We start from the raw sequence: 20,410 nt of genomic DNA on the forward strand, positions 1-20,410 counted from the left end.
AGGGTGGTCCCTGCATACAAATCTCCTTGTGGTATCAAGAGACAAATTTTCAGACCTGTCCAGGTCTTGCCTTCCTCCCAGGGCTTTTTCCTTAATGGTATTTTCGATTTTTCTCCAATCTTTTTAAAGGAACCAGATTGTGACATTTGCAGAGAGGAGGGGTCCCATAGTTTCTCATCATGGTTAACTTTCTGTTGGAACTCCTCTTCTGCCCTCCTACTCTTCTTCCTGCTCTGAGTTGTAGTAATCCTAGTGCTGGCTCCAATCCAAACTCATAGATTTATAAAGCAGAGTCTAATTTAGATTCATATGTGGTTGGAAAATTGTACCCATAAGGCTAGGGTTATTGTTCCTGAAGAGAAATATATGGTTTTGTGCTGAAGTGTGCAGGAGGGTTGGTGTGGGAGGAGGGAGGACATACAAGCAGCCCTGGTGAGAAAAGCACTGGCGGCATGGATGTCCACGTGAACTTATGTTCTTTAGCTGCCACAAAACAGCATTTGCCCTGTGGCTACATTAATAAAGATATGGGCTTTAGAATAGGGAGGTGCTCTACAGTGATCATTCATTCAACTGACATTTGTTGTCTGCTAGGGATATGACTGCTTTTGCATTTAGAAAGCATCCTTAAAGTAAAAACAGAAAAATGTCTGGGGTTATGGTGCATACGTTCTAGATGCAGGCTTGTCCAACCCGCGGCTCGTGGGCTGCATGTGGCCCAGGACAATTTTGAATGTGAGGACTTTTTTGCTTATCTGTGGTGAACCTGAGTCCTGGAGTGAGTGCACCCACCTCCCTCAGGGTCAGGAGTGAATGCTTTAGGAACCCTCCTTTTCAGTGACCTGCAAAAGATAGAGGGCACATTTACTGTGATAACCCAGAGTATCAGCCAAGGGGGCTTGACCTTCAAGGAGTTGTGGGGAAGGTTAATAAAGGGTGGTGTCCCAGGGTCAGAAAAGATGGGCAGACAGCAAGGGCACTGCTTGATATCTATGATAAGCATGTGGAATTGAGGAGCAAGCTTCAGATTCAGAATCCAGTGACTAAGGACATATCTATATCCCTAAGAGAAAGAACCTTGGGACACGATGATGGTTATATGCTGGGACAATTCCATCAGCCCTTCTGCAAAGGAGCCTATAGCCATTTAATCAGGAGATGGGATAAGTATTAACATTGGGTGTGAGCTGACATTGCTGCCCAGATTCCTACAGCACCATTATGTCCCCCATCACACTGGGGCTTACAGAGGCCAGGGAATAAACCTAGATACATTATGCCCCATGGTGGAATCACCAGTTCCATAAATCCTGTCCTGGTTATCTCCCCATTCTCTGAGTGCATAATTGGCCTTGATGCACTGGCAACTGGAGTCACCCCACACTGTGTCCCTAGTCTGGAGAGTAAGGGATCTCACTGTGCTGAAGCCCAAAGGGAAACATCCCTCATCCAAGCCAAACCAGAAGCAATATTGTGCCTCAGGGTGGGTCTTGTGGAGGGTACTGCAGGTATTATAGGGGTGGCACTGCCATTACAGACCTGAACGATGTGGGGTGGTGTTGGGATTGCCTGTTATCTCCATATAACTCAGCAATCTGTACCTGCAGAAGCCTGATATGGCTAAAGAATGAATGGAATTACTCCAGACTTGACCAAGTAGGAGTCCTGATTGCAGCTGCCATGCTGGCTGGATATCACTGCCTGGGGAGATTAATAAGGCCTCAGGCACATGGCAAGCAGCTGTGGATTTGGTGAGTGCATTCCCTCCCATTTCATTTAGAAGATGGATATGGAATGATTCACATTCACATGGGATTTATAATACATTTATTGATAGCTTGCATCAGGGCTACCTTAACTCCTCAACCTTCTATAAATATCACCTTAAGAGACCTGGACGAATCAGACATCCCACAGAATACTAAATCTCTTCATTTCATTGGCAATATCACATAAATTGGGAAGGATGAACAACAGCAGGAAAGTACGCTGAATTCCCTGGCAAAACATGTGCACTACAGAAGGTGAAGATAAAACTTACAGAGCTTCAAGAGTGGCCACTGCAGTGAAGTGTTATGGGTCCAGTGGTTAGGGGCATGCAGAGCTCCCCGCCGCCACACACACACACAAAGTAAAAGACACACTTGCATCTTGCATCCTCACCAGAAGGAAGGATGCACACTACCTTGTGAGCCTCTCTGGGTTCTAGCAACACCACATTCCACATCTAAGTTTATTGCTTTGGCTGACACTCTGGGTGATATAGGAGGAGGCCAGCTTTGAGTGGGGCCTGGACTGGAAAGGACACTGCAGCAGACCCAGGCTGTGGTGCAGTCAGTCACCATCCCTCAGACCCCTGGTGCTGGAGGTGGCGGTCTGGGGAAAGAAGCAGGATGGAGCTGAACCAAGCATCAGTGGGAAAGTCAGAATGCAGGGCCTGGGATCAGGAGTAAGGCCATGGAGTCCACAGCAGAGAAACATGCTCCATGTTAGAAGCAACTTTTAGCATGTTACTGGCCCTGATAAGATAGAATGCTTGAGCATAGGACACCAAGCAACCATGTGATTCCAAGTGCCCGTGTGTATTGGCTTCTATGTGACCCATAGAGTCATTCACTGGACAGGCCCAGCGGCATCTATCATGAGACGAAAACGGTCCATGTCGGTTGAGCCTCAATTCCATGTTAACACCCACAGAAAACACCCAGTCCTGATGTGGCCCTGAATAACCAAACAAATTGAAGACAAATTGAAGTTAGCCAGTCTGCATCATGGATCAGCCCAGGCCTGATAGGAAGGACCCGTGAGTGGAGCAACCACAGTGGCAGGGATGAAGCTACAAATGAGTCCAGCAGCACTGTCTCTCCACTACCAAGGCCCACCCAGCTACTGCTTCCTCTGAATACTCTGCTCGTGAGCATTGCAGACCAATGATAGGCACCAATAGGGCACTATTTCTTAAAGTAACTGACTAGCCCCTAAGTGACAAGTTGAATAGCTTGAGCACCATCCATCCTGGAAGGGGCAGAAGTTTATCCTCACAGGGATAGGCTCACAGGGATGCGATGTGGTGTGGTTTTCCTCTCTGCTCTCAGACCCTCAGTCAACAACACTATTGGCATTCCTGATCCACTGGCTCAGAATTTCAGTACACTATCTGCCTGGGGGACACACCTGTTGGGGAAGGGGATGAAGTGTGGGCCCTGACCATGGGATCCCCTGGTCGTATCACCACCTGCGCCTCTCAAGTGCTGCCAGGCACACAGAGTCATGGACAGGACTCTACAGGCACAATTCAGTACCAGCTTGGATGAAACCCTCTGAGGAATGGGTGCCATCTTTCAGGATGTGATGCATGTATTGAATCAAAGACGTCTCTAAGGCACTGTTTTCAGAAGGAAGAATACGCGGGTCCAAAAACCAAGAAGTCAAAGCAGGTGTGTCTCATTCCTTATATTCACCCCCAGGGTGATTTACTTATAAGTAAATAAATACATAACATGAATACTTAAATAAATTTATTTATGCATGTATGTATGTATGTATTTATTTTATTCATTATATTCACCCCCAGGGTGATTTTGCTCTTCTTACTTCCAAAATCTGGACTCTGCAGGGTAGGAGGTCCTGGTTTCCCAAAGAGGGCACCCTGGCAAGGAGACAAATGAGAGTCCATGGAACTACACATTGTGGTTGCACCCAGGGATATTTGAATAGTATGTGCCCAGAGACAAGCAGGTGAGAAGAGGAGGAGGCAGCGCTGCTATCACACAATGAGGGCAGGAGAAGTGTGTGTGGAAACCAGGAATCCACTTGGGGACGTCCTGGTTTCCCTTGTCCGTTGTGTGAGCGGAATCATCCAGCAACCCAGCCTGAGAGGGTTTGATATTCAAGAGCCCAGAACCCTCAGGAAGGAAGGATTGAGTGATACTCCTAGGTAATGTCCCACGTCTCTGCTTCTGTGCTCTGACATCCTCAGCAGGATTAGTGCAGAAGCCCTGCTTCCATGAGTTGTTCCCAGCCAGTGACCGGTCACAGCAAGCACACTAAGGCAGGCCATTACTGGGAGACATGGGACTCCTCTGATGGCCAAATGTGGCTCCAGGACTCCTCCATGCCCTTCCTCAACTCTCCTTAGACTGCCTCTGCTCTAGGATGCGTCGAACAGACCTTGTCTCCTTCTGTCCAGCACTTGGGGTCACACTTGCATCATTGTCTGCCGCCTTTTCCAGGGATTTCTGGCTCGCGTCTCATATTCCCTTACAGGTGTGTCCCCTCATAAGATGCCGTAGACTTTAAGCTCATCTTGGCATCTGCTCCTTGGAGGACTTGGACTAAAAAGCATTGCCATGTGCACACCAATAACTCTTACTTATTCCAACCTGTAAAATCCATCTCTTTAACCAACTTCTGCCACCCCCATAAAATCTATTTTGCGCGCGTTCGTAGTATCTCTTTGAATTAACAGATATTTGTTGTATTAAGCCACTAAATTTTGAGGTAGTTTGTGACACAGCAGTTAATAACTATTAAGGCTTTCTTAAGTTTCTGTTATTCCATGGATGTTATCTACATCTTTTAATTTCCTGCATTTTAATAATATTAGCCACACTTGCTGTTTCTAATCCTTTCCTCCTATTCTTTTTTGAAAATGTTCATTTTGTCTTTCTCTGTCCTTCCATCTTTCTTTCCTCCTTTCCTCCCTCAGAGCTTTCTCCCTCCCTCCACTTTTTCATAAACTCTATGTGGTTAGGCTAAAAAGAATCACTATTTGAATCTTATGCTTAAAGTATAATGCCATAATTTACAGGATAAAAGTAAAGAAAAGGAAGGTATTAATGGAATATGAAAAAATGCCTAGGGTGATTCTGTAGCCAAGACAATGGTTTTTTAACATGTAATCTCCACCTTCAACTGAATGTTTTCAGAACACATGAGCAACATAAGTTCTTTCCCATTCTTGGTACAAGCACTTGGGAAATCAAATTAGCCTTATCTTGTATGATTAATGTCCATACACTGTATAATCCCACCATCTGCTCCTGATCATACACTCTGGGGATATCTTTGGCTATGTGTCCCAGAGACGTGTACACCAATGTTTATGGCAAAAAAACTGGAAACAATCACATATGCATCAATGGGAATTAACAAAATTCTGATATAATTACGAAAAGTAAAATTTTAGCAGTAAAAATGATTGAACAGCACCCTCCCACATCAGAGATAACTCTCCTACACATAACATGCATCACAGAAGAATACATATAGTGTGAGTTCTCTGTACAGCGAAGTTAAAAAAACAGGTCAGACTGTGATTTGGGTATATATATTTATTGTAAAAATCTTTAGAGACAGTGCAAAGGACTAGTAAATACAAGACTCAAGATAGAGGTTCCTTTTGGTGGATAGGATTGGGCAACAGTCTAGGGTGGCTTCATAGGTTCTGTTTCTTATGCCAGGAGAGGATGTCCAGGTAATTAGTTACTTGATCATAAATCTTTATTTATTTATTTATTCATTTATTTTTGAGATGGAGTCTCACTCTTGTTGCCCAAGCGGGAGTGCAATGGTGTGATCTCGTCTCACTGCAACCTCCGCCTCCCATGTTCAAGCGATTCTCCTACCTCAGCCTCTGAGTAGCTAGGATTACAGGCACCTGCCATGATGCCCGGCTAATTTTTGTATTTTTCGTACAGACTGTGCTTCACCATGTTGGCCAGGCTGGTCTCCAACTCCTGATCTCAGGTGATCCACCCACTTCGGCCTCCCAAAATGCTGGGATTAGAAGCATGAGCCACCACTCCTGGCCCACAAATATTTATAGTGGCAATTTTCAAAATGCACCTTGTGTGCCATTCCTGATTATTTGGAAATGAAAGAGAAAAGAAAACACAAAAGTTCATTGCAAGGATCCTTAGCAATAACTACATGAGTTAAAACAAAGCCACAGCCAATTGTAAGGAGCCATGTGACAGAGAGTACCAGGATGCCATGAAAAAATAGCCTTTGATAGAAATAGGTCATTTGATTCTTGGCTAATTGGCAACTCTCTACATTCTCTGGTGTACAATGTTCAATCTGATGTGCAAGGCAATTGTATCTCGCAAAGAATTTGAGAATTTGATATGTTGCTCAATTTTACCACGGATACAAGTGAATTAAACTTTTACAGAATAGAAAAAAAGCACTGTCGAGCAAAATAAATTAAATGAAAACACATAAAGGAATAACTAGTGATGAAATAGCAATACGAATGGAAAACACGAAAGAGCTTCTTTTACAGCAACATTAGAAGCACAAAATAACTGTATTTTTCAGAATCATACTGGAGTCCAAATCACTTCTACCACATCTAATTAAAAAACACAGCGAAAGATGTTAAATTGATCAATGGATGCACACTGAATACCCAGTTATTGAAAAATCGTGTTCCTAGATTGGAGTTAACCATTTCCGCCTACCACATCAAACCAAATCTTTGTCGTGATGCTAAGCTAGCTGTACAGACAAAGATGTGAGACACATTTTCTCTAACTGCAAAGCACCCTGATTAGGCAAATATTTTTGTAGAAGCTTGAGTAAGAAAATTGACATTTTGGGCATTCTTAAAAGGAATTAGTAGCTTCTGAGGAAAAAGAAAGATAGTTATGATTGTAAAGGCATTATTATACGGCACCAGTCGTGGGACTCTTTGGTCTAGCTACTGTATTTTCTCAACTTTCTTGCAACTCATCAAAGAGAACATTAATATTAAAGGCATTTGCAAAAAAAATCTGAGATATTGTTGTATCTCCATTCTCTGTCTCAAAGTTTTATTCATTACTTTACAAAAGATAATTTTAAAGTATTAAAGAAAATTAGTCAGATACAAGAAGTATTTGATTTACAAAATCCTGAAACAATAATGTTAATTGTGGTGCCAGCTACTTGGGAGGCTGAAGGAGGAGCATTGATGGCATGAGCCCAGGAGGTTGAGGCTTCAGTGAATCATGAGCATGCCACTGCATTCCAGCCAGGGCAACAGAGTGTTACTTTGTCTAAAAATAACTAACTAGCTAACTAACTAACTAAATAAATAAATAATGGAGGCAGTGCACGAGCCCTGGTGAAGGGCACTTTGGCTGCATTGAGCACTTGCAGATTTGAGGTGATTACATTCTGTACGTTACTTAACATGCATACTGTACATACTTAACATGCATATAAATTCTTTGATACTCCTCCTTGCAGAGGTGCAGCTTCATTCCCTTCCTGTGAGTGTGGCCTGAACTTAATGACTCACTTACAGACTGATAGAGTAATGTTGAGATAATAGTTTGTGACTCTGGGTGTAGATCATAAGACTCACTAAGTCTGGGAGCGGTCACTCACGCCTGTAATCCCAACACTTTGGGAGGTCAAGAGGGCAGATCATGAAGTCAGAAGTTCGAGACCAGCCTGGCCAAGATGGTGAAACCCCGTCTCTACTAAAAATACAAAAATTAGCCAGGTGTGGTGGTGCATGCCTGTAATCCCAGTTGCTCAGGAGGCTGAGGCAGGAGAATCACTTGAACCTGGAAGTCGGAGGTTGCAGTGAGCCAAGATCCAGCCACTGCATTCCAGCCTGGGTGACAGGGTGAGACTCTGTCTCAAAAAACAAACAAACAAACAAACAAACAAACAAACAAACAAAAAACTCACTGCAGCTTCCTACTTTGGTTCTGGTTTTCTCTTTCTCTGGGATCATGAGCCTTGGGGGAAGCCAGCTGCTGTGTCATAAGCAGGCCTGTGGAAAGCTCCAAGTGACTAGGAAGTGAGGCCTCCTGGGGCCAGACAATAAGAAGATGAAGCCTCTTCCAACAGCCACGTGGGATATTCTTGTGACTTGTGAATCCCCAGCCCCATTTGAGCCCTCAGATGATAAAGCCCTGGATGACAATTAGACCGCAATTTTGTGAGTGGCCCTGAGCCAGAAGAACTTTGAGAAAACTTTCCTGGATTCCTGACCACTAGAAACTGTGGGACATGATAAATATTTGTTGATTTTAGTTGCTAAGTTTTAAGTGACTTGTTATGCATCAGTAGATAACTAACACACCTTCACAAGAGAGGATGAATCATTGAATTTTTCATTTGCTCTAAATTGATTATAAGATATTAAACATGTCATTTGCTTTTAATATTTAACAAGAATTTTCATGGTTATATAAGATATATTTTATTATCACTAACAATGATCAATTTTTTTTACCTTCAATTTGTATGTTCTATTCAAACACAAAAGGAAGAGCCAGGCTATGCTAGGGTGATTCTATGATGACACCCCAATAACCACCCTTGGTTGCTCACATTACCCCAGTTACTCGGTTGACACTAATGTAGGTGCTGCTGTGAAGGGATTTTGCAGATGTATTCCAGGTCCCCTGTCAGTTGGCTTTAAGATGGGGATTATCCTGCTTGGACTGTCCTAATCAGGTAAGCTCTGAAAAGGACTGGGTTCTTCCTGAGAATAGAGACTCACAGTGTGAGAGGGATTCAGTGTGAGGGGCTTCCTCCATTGTGGGCTTTGAAAATGGTGGGATCATGGTGAAAGAACACTGGTGGCCAATAGGAAGTAGAAGCCCTCCCCACTGTCTACTCTGATAGCCTGAAGGAAACAGGGACCTTAGTCCTACAATTACCAGAAACCGAATTCTGCCAACGAGCTCTATATAAGCTTGGGGGAGAATCCCAATCTTAAGATGAGGATACAGCTTTGCGAAACCCTGAACAAAGAATCTCTGACACTAGGCCTGGATTTCTGATGAAGGAAATGCAGAAAAATAAATGAGTGCTCTTTTAAGCCACTAAGTTTGTGGTAATTGGTTATGTACTAATAGAAAATTCATAAACAGATTCAACAGCTAAGCATATGACATTTCCTCCAATGGAATGAATTTATGAACTGATATGCATAGTAGTTGCATAAAACCAAATGTTTCCTAACTTGCTTTGCATTTTTCATTTTGTGATTTTTGTGTGATACAATTTTTAACACAATCATATTTCATTCACTCAAGAAAATTAACTTAGTGCCTACTATGTGCCAGATATGCTTTTAGATGCTGCAGACACAACTTTGATCAAAACAACCCAAAGCCCCTGTGCTTGTGCCTTCCATTTTAGAGGCTTCTTGAGAGTGAGATGGAGCCATTGGAGTGTTTTAAGTGAAGAAATGACACAATCTGACTCACATTAGCAGGATTTCTGACCATTGTTGGGAGAACAGTCATGGGCAGCAGGCGAGGGGACAGAGCTAGGGCCGCAATTCAGTAGTGACAGAGTAGTAGAGACTAAGGGGAGAGGAGGGCCTGATGGGTGACAGGGACAGAGAGAAGGGCTGGAGAAGCAGGAGGTGAGGTAAAGGAACAGAGAGAAAGAATTCTAAAGCAATGGAATTCTCAGACTTAAACACAGGGTTTTATAGATTTTTAATCCATTTATCCTCAGAGCCTGGCACAGTGTTACTTGCACCTTGGTCTTTAATACATTCTGTGGGGCTGTCTAATAACTAATTGCCTCCTTATGATAAACAGGTTAGAAAAGAATACCAGGTGTCCCAATAAAATATGCACATAGCTTAGATGTGAATAATTCCTAAATATAGGCAGGTGCATGAGATGGTCATTGTGGCTCATGCCTGTAATACCAGCATTTTGGGAGGCTGAGGCAGGAGGATCATTTGAGCTCAGGAGTTCAAGACTAGCGAGAGCAACATAGGGAGACCTCATTTCTACAAATTTTTTTTTAGAAAAATTAGCCAGGAGTGGTGGTACAAGCCTGTGGTGCCAGATACTTGGAGGCTGAAGGAGGAGCATTGATCGCATGAGCCCAGGAGGTCGAGGCTTCAGTGAGTCATGAACGTGCCACAGCACTCCAGCTAGGGCAACAGAGTGATACTCGGTCTAAAAATAACTAACTAACTAAATAAATGATAAATAAAGGCGGTGCATGAGCACTGGTGAAGGGCACTTTGGCTGCATTGAGCACTTGCAAATTTGAGGTGATTAAATTCTGTACAGGCTCCTGGTTGCAATATACGGTAACACATTGTGCTTTGTATTGAGATGTCCTGGACTCGCGCACACAAACTCAGGGCTATAAGATAAAGATAATTTAAAAATACAACAGACCAGAGTCACAGATACACAGTCTGGGAAAGTAAAACTTAACTTTGTGAGTCTAACTGCAATGCGTTTAGACACATTTATATATAATGGGGCCAAAAATCACCTCTTTTACAAATTAGATTCGTGACCATTCAGGGGCTACCAAGATTGTGCTAGCCACTGTACTGCGCTACCCACTGTTACTAAGATTGTGCTACTCCGCTGCGGGACCAGCGGAGATCCTCCACCCAATAAAAGCCCCAGGCGCCTATACCGGATTCCATTTTCAGTTCAGGCCCAAATCCCCGGGGGTTGGTCGAGGCTGAGGCGGGGCTCCGTCGAGGCTGAGGCGGGGCTCAGCGGCCTGGGCTGACCGCAGTCGCTGGGAATGGGTCTCACACCCTTCAATGGGTACACAGCTGCGACGTGGACTCGGACTGCAGTCTCCTCAGTGGGTATGAACATACCCTATCACGGCGCCAGTTACCTCGTCCGAAACCAGGAACTGCGCTCTTGGACTGCAGCGGACAAGGCGGCTCAGATGCCCTGGCGGAGGAACAGGCAGAGCTGCTCAAAACCTACCTGCAGGGAAGGTGGGCGGAGTGGCTCAGCAAAGTCCTTAAGAATGGGAAGGAGAGGCTGCAGTGCCCAGGTACCAGTGGCCACGGGGTGCCTCCCTGATCTCCTGCAGATCTCCTTGAGTCACATTCCAAAAGAAGGGAAGGAAAATGGGACCAACGCTAAAATATCCCTCTCCCTCTTGTGAGGAGGAAGAGTCCTCCCGGGTTTTCAGATCCTATACTAGAGAGTGACTGAGGGCCTGCCCTGCACTCTGGGACAGTTAAAGGATGTAGTCTCTGAGGGAAAGGAGGGGAAGACAATCCCTGAAATACTGATCCGCGGTCCCCTTTGTCCCCACAGCAGCCTTGGGCACCAGGAATTTTCCTCTCAGGCCTTGTTCTCTGCCTCACACTCAATGTGTATTTGTGGGTCTGATTCCAGCTTTTTTGACCTCGGCCTCCGCTCAGGTCAGGACCAGAAATCTCTGTTCCGGCCTCAGACACTAAAACTTTCTAAGGAATAGAAGATTGCCCCAGGTGCCTGTGTCTAGACTGGTGTCTGAGTTGCTCCCTTCCCCACTTCAGGTGTCCCGTCAATTTTCAGGATGGTCCCATGAGGTGGAATGTCCCATGAGGAATGCAAAGTGCCTGAATTTTCTGACTCTTCCCCTCAGAACCCCAAAGACTCACATGACCCACCACCCCATCTCTGACCATGAGGCCACCCTGAGGTGCTGGGCTCTGGGCTTCTACCCTGTGGAGATCACACTGACCCAGTAGTGGGATGGACAGGACCAAATGTAGGATGCAGAGGTTGTGGAGACCACACCTGCAGGGTACAGAACCTTCCAGAAGTGGGCAGCTGTGGTGGTGTCTTCTGGAGAGGAGCAGAGATACACATGCCATGTGCAGCACGATGGGCTGCCAGAGCCCCTCACCCTGAGATGGGTAAGGAAGGGGATGAGGGGTCATGTCTCTTCTCACGGGAACTAGGAGCCCTTCTGGAGCCCTTCAGCAAGGTCAGGGTTTGAGGCCTGATGGTCAGGGCCCCTCACGTTCCCCTCCTTTCTTACAGCTGTCTTCCCAGCCCACCAGCCCCATCATGGGCATCGTTACTGTCCTGGTTGTTCTTGGTGCTGTTTTCACCAGAGCTGTGGTCACTGCTGTGATGTGAAGAATAAGAGCCCAGGTAGGAAAGGGGTGAGCTCCGAGTTTTCTTCTTCCATTGGTGGATTCCCAGCCCCAGATGGGAGTTGGCTTGTATCCTGCCTAGTCATGAGGCACCATCTCTGTCTATCAACACTTACTCTTTTGTAAAGAACTTGTGAAAATGAAGGACAAATTTATCACCTTCATTGGAGTCATGGGAACCTGACTCCCAGCAGTCACAGGTCAGGGGAAGGTACCCGCAGAGGACAGACCTCACTAGGACAATTAGTCCAGTTTCAACACATCCTCTTACCTAGGGTTTCCTGATTCTGACCTGGGTCTGCAGTCACAGTTCTGGACACTCCTCTGGGATCTCATGACCCTGCTTCCTCCCTGGCCTTTCACAGTTTATTTTCTTTCCACAGATGGAAAAGGAGGCAGCTATGCTAAGGCTTCATGCAAGTGTGGTAGGGGTGGGAAGAGTGATCCCTGAGATCCTTGGGATAGTGTAGACAGGAGCCCATGGGGGAGCTCACCACCCCAAAATTCCTCCTTTAGTCACATCATCTGTGGGCTCTGACCAGATTTTGTTTTTGTTCCACCCGAAACAGGGACAGTACCCAGGGCTCTGATGTGTCTCTCAAGGCTTGTAAAATGACAACTTAGGGGGCCTGAAGGGAAGGAGGAGTTGGGGCATAGGGGACACAACTAGGCTCTGGAGATTCTTTGATTTGGAATTTTTCAGGGTGTGGTGGGCTGTTCAGTGTCACAACTTACTATGACTGATCTGAATTTGTTCATGACTATTTTTTTTCTAAGACTGCCTTGTGAGGGACTGAGATGCAAGATTTGTTCATGCCTCCCCTTTGTGACTTCAAGGGCCTCTGTCTTCTCTTTCTGCCAAGGTGTCTGAATGTGTCTACATCCCTGGTATCATGTGAGAAGTGGGGAGACCAGCCCACCCTCATGTCCACCATCACCCCTGATATTGTTTGGATCTGTGTCTCCACCCAAATCTCATGTTCACTTGTAATCACTAAGGTTGGAGGTGGCACCTCAGGGAGGTGATTGGCTCATGAGGATGGATCCTTCATGAATAGTTTAGGACCATCTCTTTGGTGCTGTTCTTGTGATAGTTCTCACAACGTCTGGTGTTTAAAAGTGTGTGGTACCTCCCTGCTCTCTCTCCCTCCTACTCCAGGCTTGTAAGTCATGCCTACTTCCCCTTAACCTTCCAGCATGATTGAAAATTTCCTGAGGTCCTCTCATAAGTTGAGCAGATGCCAGAATCATACTTTCATATAGCCTGCAGAACCATGAGCCAATTTAAACCTTCTGTCTTTATAAATTACCCAGTCTCAGGTATTTCTTTATAACAGTTGAGAATGAATAATTCAGAAAATCGGTACCAGAAGTTGGGTACTGCAATAAACGTAGCTGAAAATGTGAAAATGTCTTTGGAACTGGGTAACAGGTAGAGGTTGGAAGAGTTTGGAGAGTTTAGAAGACAAGAAAATGGGGGAAAACTTGCAACTTCCTAGAGGTTTGTTAAATTGTTGTGACCAAAATGCTGATAGTGATATAGACAATAGAGCCCAGGCTGATGAGGTCTCAGATGGAGATGAGGAACTTACTGGGACCTAGAGAAAAGGTCACTTTTGTTATGCATTGGCAAAGAACTTGGAGGCATTCTGCCCCCTCCTTAGGGATCTGTGGAACTTTGAACATGAGGGTGATGATTAAGGGTATCTGATAGAAGAAATTTCTAAGCAGCATAGCATTCAAGATTTGGCTTCCTGTTGTAATAGTCTATGCACATATGTGTGAGCAAAAAAATGATCTGAAACTGGAACTGATATTTAAAGGGGAAATTTAATATCCAGGACAATTCCCAGTGGAGCTGCAGGAGCAGGACCCCTATCAGGACTACTAAATGGTGGAGCCACTGGCAATGTGCAAGCTCAGCTTGGAAAATCCATAGGTATTCAATTTTCACCCATGAGAGCAGCTATATGGGTTATGTTCAGCAAACCCAAGGATGTGGGGCTGCAAATGGCATTGTGAGCCCACCACTTGAACCAGTGTGCTCAGGATTCAAGATATAGGGTCAAAGGAGATTATTTTAGAGCTTTAAATTTTAACATCTTCCATGATGAGTTTCAGCTTTGTGAGGACACTGCATTCATTTCTTTTGGCCCATTTATTCCTTTTAGAATGGAAATGTATAAGAAATGTCTCTTCCACTCTTGTATTAATATTTTAGAAGTAAATAACCTTTTTAAAACTTTACAGGCTCACAGCTATAGGGACTTACCTTGAGTCTCAGATGAGACTTTGGAATTTTGAGTTGATGCTGGAACAACCTAGCACATTTGGGACAATTGGGAAATTATCATATTTTGCAATGGGAGAAAAACATGAGCTCTGGCTGGCTAGGGACAGAATGTAATGATATAAATATTTACCCCCGATACCTCATGTTAAAATCTGACCCCCAGTGTTGGACGTGGGGCCTAATGGGTGCTGTTTGGGTCATGGGGGCCAATCTTTTATGAATAAAGAGATCCTGTCCTCTCTCGCAAGTGAATGAATTGTTACTCTTTTAGTTTCCAAGAGAGACAGTTGTTAAAAAGAGCCTGGCAACTTCCTAAGCTCTCTGTTCCTCTCTTACCGTGTGATCTCTGCACATACCAGCTCCCCTTTGCCTTCTGCCATGAGTGGGAGCAGCCTGAGGCCCTCACCAAATGCTCAAACATTTCCAGACATCAGAATCCCAAGCCACATGAACCTTGTTTATATAAATTAGTCAGTCTCTGACATTTCTTTATAGCAACACAAAATGGAATAAGACAGCGCTCTCATCACAGGTATGTGTCTCTGGCATTCAGCCCCCATTCTCAAGATATCCAGGGTCCGCTCAGCCATGAGTCCTCTCATCAATATTCTAACTCTTATCACTCAAGAGATTCTAAGGTTTTTAGGAGAAACCAGGGACAAAGACTAAATGTTTTTGTTATACCTCAGATTACCCGCTTTTCTTTGACCACATATCTTTTATAGGAAAAGGATTATAAAAGTAAAGAGGTATTGGCGTATTATCAGAGTCTCATTCAGTCATTCAAAATTAGAACAGTTCACCATCCTCTCGTATGAATATGTCTCCCAGAATGAAGTCACTCAGGTTTGCAGACACCACTCAACCTTACCAGGCTCCAAAAACAAGAATGGTCTCAAGGACATATGGCTTCACTCTTTTAGGCACCCAGTATAATTGACCTAAGAGACAATATCTTCTCTTGCTCACAGCACTTTTGAGGAGTTAAGCTAATATTGAATTTTCCTCATTATATAACCCTTTGATTTAGTCACTTACCCTCAGCCATTATTCCTCCTTCTGTCCCTTTATATCAGTCTTTTCCAGTTTTAGAGGTGACATCAGGTTTGTCTGCTGTGCTGACCTAGACTGCAGGCAGCAATAGTATTCTAGCATGCCTTCCCTCGGTCTACTCTTGGTCATAGAGGGTAGGTTATGTAGGTAAGGAACTAGTGGGGGCCATCTGACCACCAGGCTATATAGCTCTATTTACTGTTAATCCTGACTTTGCCAGATGAAATGAAGGCATAGCACCATCTTTGAGTTGCTTGAGAATTCTTATATAAAGATGTAAATATATAGTTATGGTTTTTGGCTTAAAGATAATTCCTGTTTCTGGCACTTTGATTTTCATCCCTATTCCTGGTACCACTGCATCACATATGAAAAAAGAAATTTGAGGTGAAGCGTAGTCATTATTCCAGCATCCTCTCCCCTTCAGAAGAATTGTATGTATAGTCATAACAGCATCATCCTGATCCATCAGGTAAAAGAGAGGAAGCTATCTAGAGGAGTCACTCTTGCAGCCCCACCCATGTGGACAGTGAGCACATTCATGAAGATGTAAAAGCCAGTCCTTCATGTTTATATTGCCCAACAACTATATTGCCAGTTTTTAGACAAACAATGCTTCAACTGACCATTTCAATTTTCTATCAAAGTTTTCTTCTGAGGAGGACATCTCCCTGTGCATTGTTAGCCATTTGAGGCTGTAAAGTGTGTTTTCTTGCGTAAAGAAATGGGACTCAGCAGTCCACATTGGTGCAATCTCTTTTTTTCTGGTGATTTCATAGCCCTTGAAGCATTGACCTCTTCCCCTGGTTGAGCATAGCCCAATCCAGAGTCAGTGACTTTCCTGTCAAGATCCCTTGGCAGCTCCTTTGGGGTTGCTGCCATCAGTCTGGCTTGCCAGCCATGTATGATCAAAGCCTTCCCACTAGAGAATCACATAGCCATCTGCTGCCTCTGTCTGTTTTCTTGACCAACAGTCAAAACAGAGATGATAAGAAATGAGATAAATTACCAAAATTGTGAACAAAAGAGAGATTATCACTAGTGACCCTTTAGAAATTCAAAAGCATTATAAGTGAAGACTCTGAAAAACCTGAAGTCAATAAGTTAGACCACTTAGATAAAATGGACAGATTCATACAAAGATAGAAATTGCCAAAACTGACTCAAAAATAACTAGAAAACCTGAAATAAGGAAAAACAAAAAATAATAATGTATTGCTTGCTGTTTTATCTGGCCTAAAAAGCCCATTTGTCAGCCTTCAGTCCTTTGGCCTAAGTTTAGCTCAAATAAGGACTGTATATGCCAAGCTTTAATTCTCTATGTGAATGATAAAACCCCATCTTCACAAGAGGAGATGGGTTATGCTGTTTGTTGGATTAGTGAATTAAGCCCCGTGTTCCCCCTTAAAGAGAAATAAAAAGAGCATAGTAAAGAGCCCTCACCCAGTGAAAAGCCCTGGGATCCCCTAACACGCTTGCCCTACACCCTATACATCTCACAAAGTAGAGGACAGGGAGATCAGGGGGCAAAAGGAAGGTCGGAGGAAAAGGATTTGGGAGGTCATGAAGGAGCTAAACCCAATGCTCCCTTAAATCCTTATCCAAACTTGAGGAAAGAATTAGAACAATGTAAGGAAGGACAAACCTGATAAAAACAAGCAATGGGGAAAGGATTCCCGATTTAATAAATGGTGTTGGGAAAACTGGCTAGCCATATGCAGAAAACTGAAACTGGACCCCCTCCTTACACCTTATACAAAAATCAACTCAAGATGGATTAAAGACTTAAACATAAGACCTAAAACTGTAAAAACCCTAGAAGAAAACCTAGGCAATACCATTCAGGACATAGGCATGGGCGAAGACTTCATGACTAAAACACAAAAAGCAATGGCAACGAAAGCCAGAATTGACTAATGGGATCTAATTAAACTCAAGAGCTTCTGCACAGCAAAAGAAACTATCATCAGAGTGAACAGGCCACCTATGGAATGGGAGAAAATTTTTGCAATCTGTCCATCTGACAAAGGGCTAATATCCAGAATCTACAAAGAACTTAATTTACATGAAAAAAACAAACAACTCCATCAAAAAGTGGGCGACGGATATGAAAAGACACTTCTCAAAAGAAGACATTTATGTAGTCAACAAACATATGAAAAAAGGCCCATAGTCACTTATCATTAGAGAAATGCAAATCAAAACCACAATGAGATACCATCTCACACCAATTAGAATGGCGATCATTAAAAAGTCAGGAAACAACAGATGCTGGAGAGGATGTGGAGAAATAGGAACGCTTTTACACTGTTGGTCGGAGTGTAAATTAGTTCAACCATCGTGGAAGATAATGTGGCAATTCCTCAAGGATCTAGAACCAGAAATACCATTTGACCCAGCAATCCCACAATCCCACTACTGGATATATACCCAAAGGATTATAAACATTTTACTATAAAGATACATACACACATATGTTTATTGCGGCACTGTTCACAATAGCAAAGACTTGGAACCAATCCAAATGCCCATCAATGATAGACTGAATAAAGAAAATGTGGCACATATACACCATGGAATACTATGCAGCCATAAAAAGGATGAGTTCATGTCCTTTGCAGGGACATGGATGAAGCTGGAAACCATCATTCTCAGGAAACCATCAGCTACGTGTTCTCTGGGTCTCTCAGAGAAAGACCCACAAGAACAGAAAACCAAACACTGCATGTTCTCACTCAAATGGGAGTTGAACAATGAGAACACATGGACACAGGGAGGGGAACATCACACACTGGGGCCTGTCTGAGGGTAGGGGGCTAGGGGAGGGATAGCATTAGGAGAAATACCTAATGTAGATGATGAGTTGATGGGTGCAGCAAACCACCATGGCACATGTATACCTATGTAACAAACCTGCATGTTCTGCACGTGTATCCCAGAGTTTAAAGTATAATAATGATAATAATAATAAATTGGATTTGTAAGTGTGCCTTTAACAAGTACTGAGGTTAGGAATTTTAAAAAGGAAATGAGGCCACTCTCGGAAGATCCCCTCAGTTTAGCAGAACAGCTAGATCAATTTTTAGAACCAAATTTTTATACTTGGGCTGAGATAATTCAATCATGAATATTCTGTTTACTGGGAAAAAGACGGGAATAATTAGAAGGGCAGCCATAATCATTTGGGAGAGACAGCAGCATCCTCCTGGGTAAGGAGTCCTGCCAGCTAAGCAGAAATTCCCAAATGCAGATCCTGGATGGGATAATAATGACCCCAGGGATCGGGTCCAAATGCAAGACCATAGGGAGCTAATAATTAGAGGGATTATGCAGTCCACTCATAGGACACAAAACGTCCCCAAAGCATTCAAGATCCAACAACAAGAAGAGGAGACTCCCTCTGCATTTCTGCAGAGGCTCAGGGATCAAGTGAAAAAATATTCAGGATTAAATCCAGAGGACCCAGTAGGGCAAGGCCTTTTAAAGGTTAATTTTGTAACTAAAAGCTGATGTAATATTACTAAGAAACTGCAAAAGATTAACGGATGGAATAAAAAACCAATTAAGGAAATACTGAGGGAAGCTCAGAAAGTTTGTGTGTGTGTGTGAGAGAAAGAGAGAGAGAGAGAGTTAAGCTGCTATACCTGAAGGAAGAGAGAGCCAGCGGCACAGCTGTGTGTGGCAGCTGGCTTCTAAAAGCTGTTGATAAAGGTTACTGCTGAGTCATTTCCGCAGAGCTGCCTGTTTTTGCAGACAGACAAGGGGAGCCAGGGCACAGCACGGCTCGGCTCATGCCCAGAGAAAGAGGAAGAAGCTGAGTGTGAGACAGAAAGGAAATGGGATGGCAGAGAGAGAATAGAAGAGGAAAATTAGCAAGAGAGACTAAAAGAGACAGAGATCAAAGAGAAACACAGAAGGTAAAACTGGGGAGACAAATAATGTAAAAGGAAAAAAGAGTACAAGACAAAGTGAGAGAATGCTGAGAGGTTGGCAGGGCTGGGGGAAGTTTCTGGGGACTTAAGCAACAAGGAGGTGCAGGGGAAGGGTGCATGCAGTGCGTGGCCACTGAGGAACGACAAAACCCGGGAACTGGGGGATGGATGCAAGTGAGAAAGGGATGTGGAGGAGAGTTTAGGATCAGGCTGCCTGAGGTGTAATGGGTTGCCTACAGCAAAAACTAGATGGCTGTTTATCAGGAGGTGGTCAAAAGGATTCAAGTTATGGAAGAGTAAATGAATAAGATAACATTAAGGTTTTGTTGTTGTTTTAGTGAGAGGCTGGAAGGCCACCAGGGGCAGTTAGCTGTCAGTAAGGCAGCAGAAGGGCTGGGGTCGCTACATAAGGAAAATCAGTACTAGGGCTGTAAACTCAAATGACTACAGGGCCAGCAAATAATAAAAAGGAGGGCTGCAGGGCTGGGTGGGAACTGTGGCGGCTGCTCAGCTCTTCTTACAGTGCTGGCACTGTGTTTTCAGATTGTCTGCTTTGTCAGAGGACAAAATTCTGACTTTTTATGTAAAATATAATTTTAAAATGCTGATATTCTGTTCAAATAACTTAAAAACCCAAAACAGGCAAAAGAGGATGCCAGTTTGCAATCCCTGAAGTAGAGAGAGCTCGTGCTGGGGAAAAGTCTGCCAAAATGCTTTAAGGTGGAATGTGTAAAAGTTCTGTTTCCCAGAGTCGGGCTGGGCCAGGGGAGGATCCTTGCAGCCCAGGAGGAGGAAAAGCCACTAAGTCCCCTCCCAGGGCTGGACAAACTGGAGACCCTTTACAGTTGCTGGGTCACCAGTGGGGGTTGCTTGAAACACAAACAGTGCACCTCTAGGCCTGCCACGGAGAGGAACGGTGCCTTTGAAGCACAAAAAAAAAAAAAAAACAGGAAGGGAGGGCGGAGCCAGAAATGCCTTTTCTAATGAGAGTACCCATCAGGGAAGGCTCCATAGGCTGGCAGATCTTCAAACCAGCAGCTCTTGGCCCAAAGCCAAACCCAGCAGGGCCCGGCCAAGGGCACTCTGGGATGCCAGCTGATCAGTCCCTTGCCTCCCCAAGACCTCCTGGGGTCAATGGGCCCTCGGGAGGTGACTAAACTAACACCAGCCAGTTTCTTATGAAAAGGAGAGGAGAATAAGAAGGCGTCAGAGTATAACTGTTTAGATATCACAGAGTATCAAACTAAAGTT

General features: G+C 44.1%; 2 pseudogenes, besides 4 other annotated features; one reads left to right on the top strand and one right to left on the bottom strand.

Moving 5' to 3' along the window:
- HCG4P4 (HLA complex group 4 pseudogene 4) lies at positions 9,131-9,559 on the bottom strand (annotated as a pseudogene).
- On the top strand, positions 9,760-12,984 carry HLA-W (major histocompatibility complex, class I, W (pseudogene); annotated as a pseudogene).
- Positions 18,877-19,021: an enhancer, noted in NCBI's record as "145 bp enhancer 17 fragment used in the MPRA reporter construct; PK_construct_3757". NCBI's record gives its function as "activates an SV40 promoter by MPRA in both HepG2 and K562 cells {active_cell/tissue: HepG2 | K562}" and the evidence as "EXISTENCE:reporter gene assay evidence [ECO:0000049][PMID:23512712]".
- Positions 18,877-19,296: a biological region, named in NCBI's record as "nonconserved acetylation island sequence 101 enhancer".
- Positions 18,944-18,954: a transcriptional cis regulatory region, noted in NCBI's record as "NFE2L2 motif; MPRA enhancer 17 activity is reduced when this motif is scrambled". NCBI's record gives its function as "necessary for full MPRA enhancer 17 activity {active_cell/tissue: HepG2 | K562}" and the evidence as "EXISTENCE:site-directed mutagenesis evidence [ECO:0005528][PMID:23512712]".
- Positions 19,001-19,296: an enhancer, noted in NCBI's record as "acetylation island sequence 101 enhancer". NCBI's record gives its function as "activates a minimal heat-shock promoter by reporter assays in Jurkat T cells {active_cell/tissue: Jurkat}" and the evidence as "EXISTENCE:reporter gene assay evidence [ECO:0000049][PMID:17135569]".

This window comes from Homo sapiens, chromosome 6, assembly GCF_000001405.40.
Source record: "Homo sapiens chromosome 6, GRCh38.p14 Primary Assembly".
NCBI lineage: Eukaryota > Metazoa > Chordata > Mammalia > Primates > Hominidae > Homo > Homo sapiens.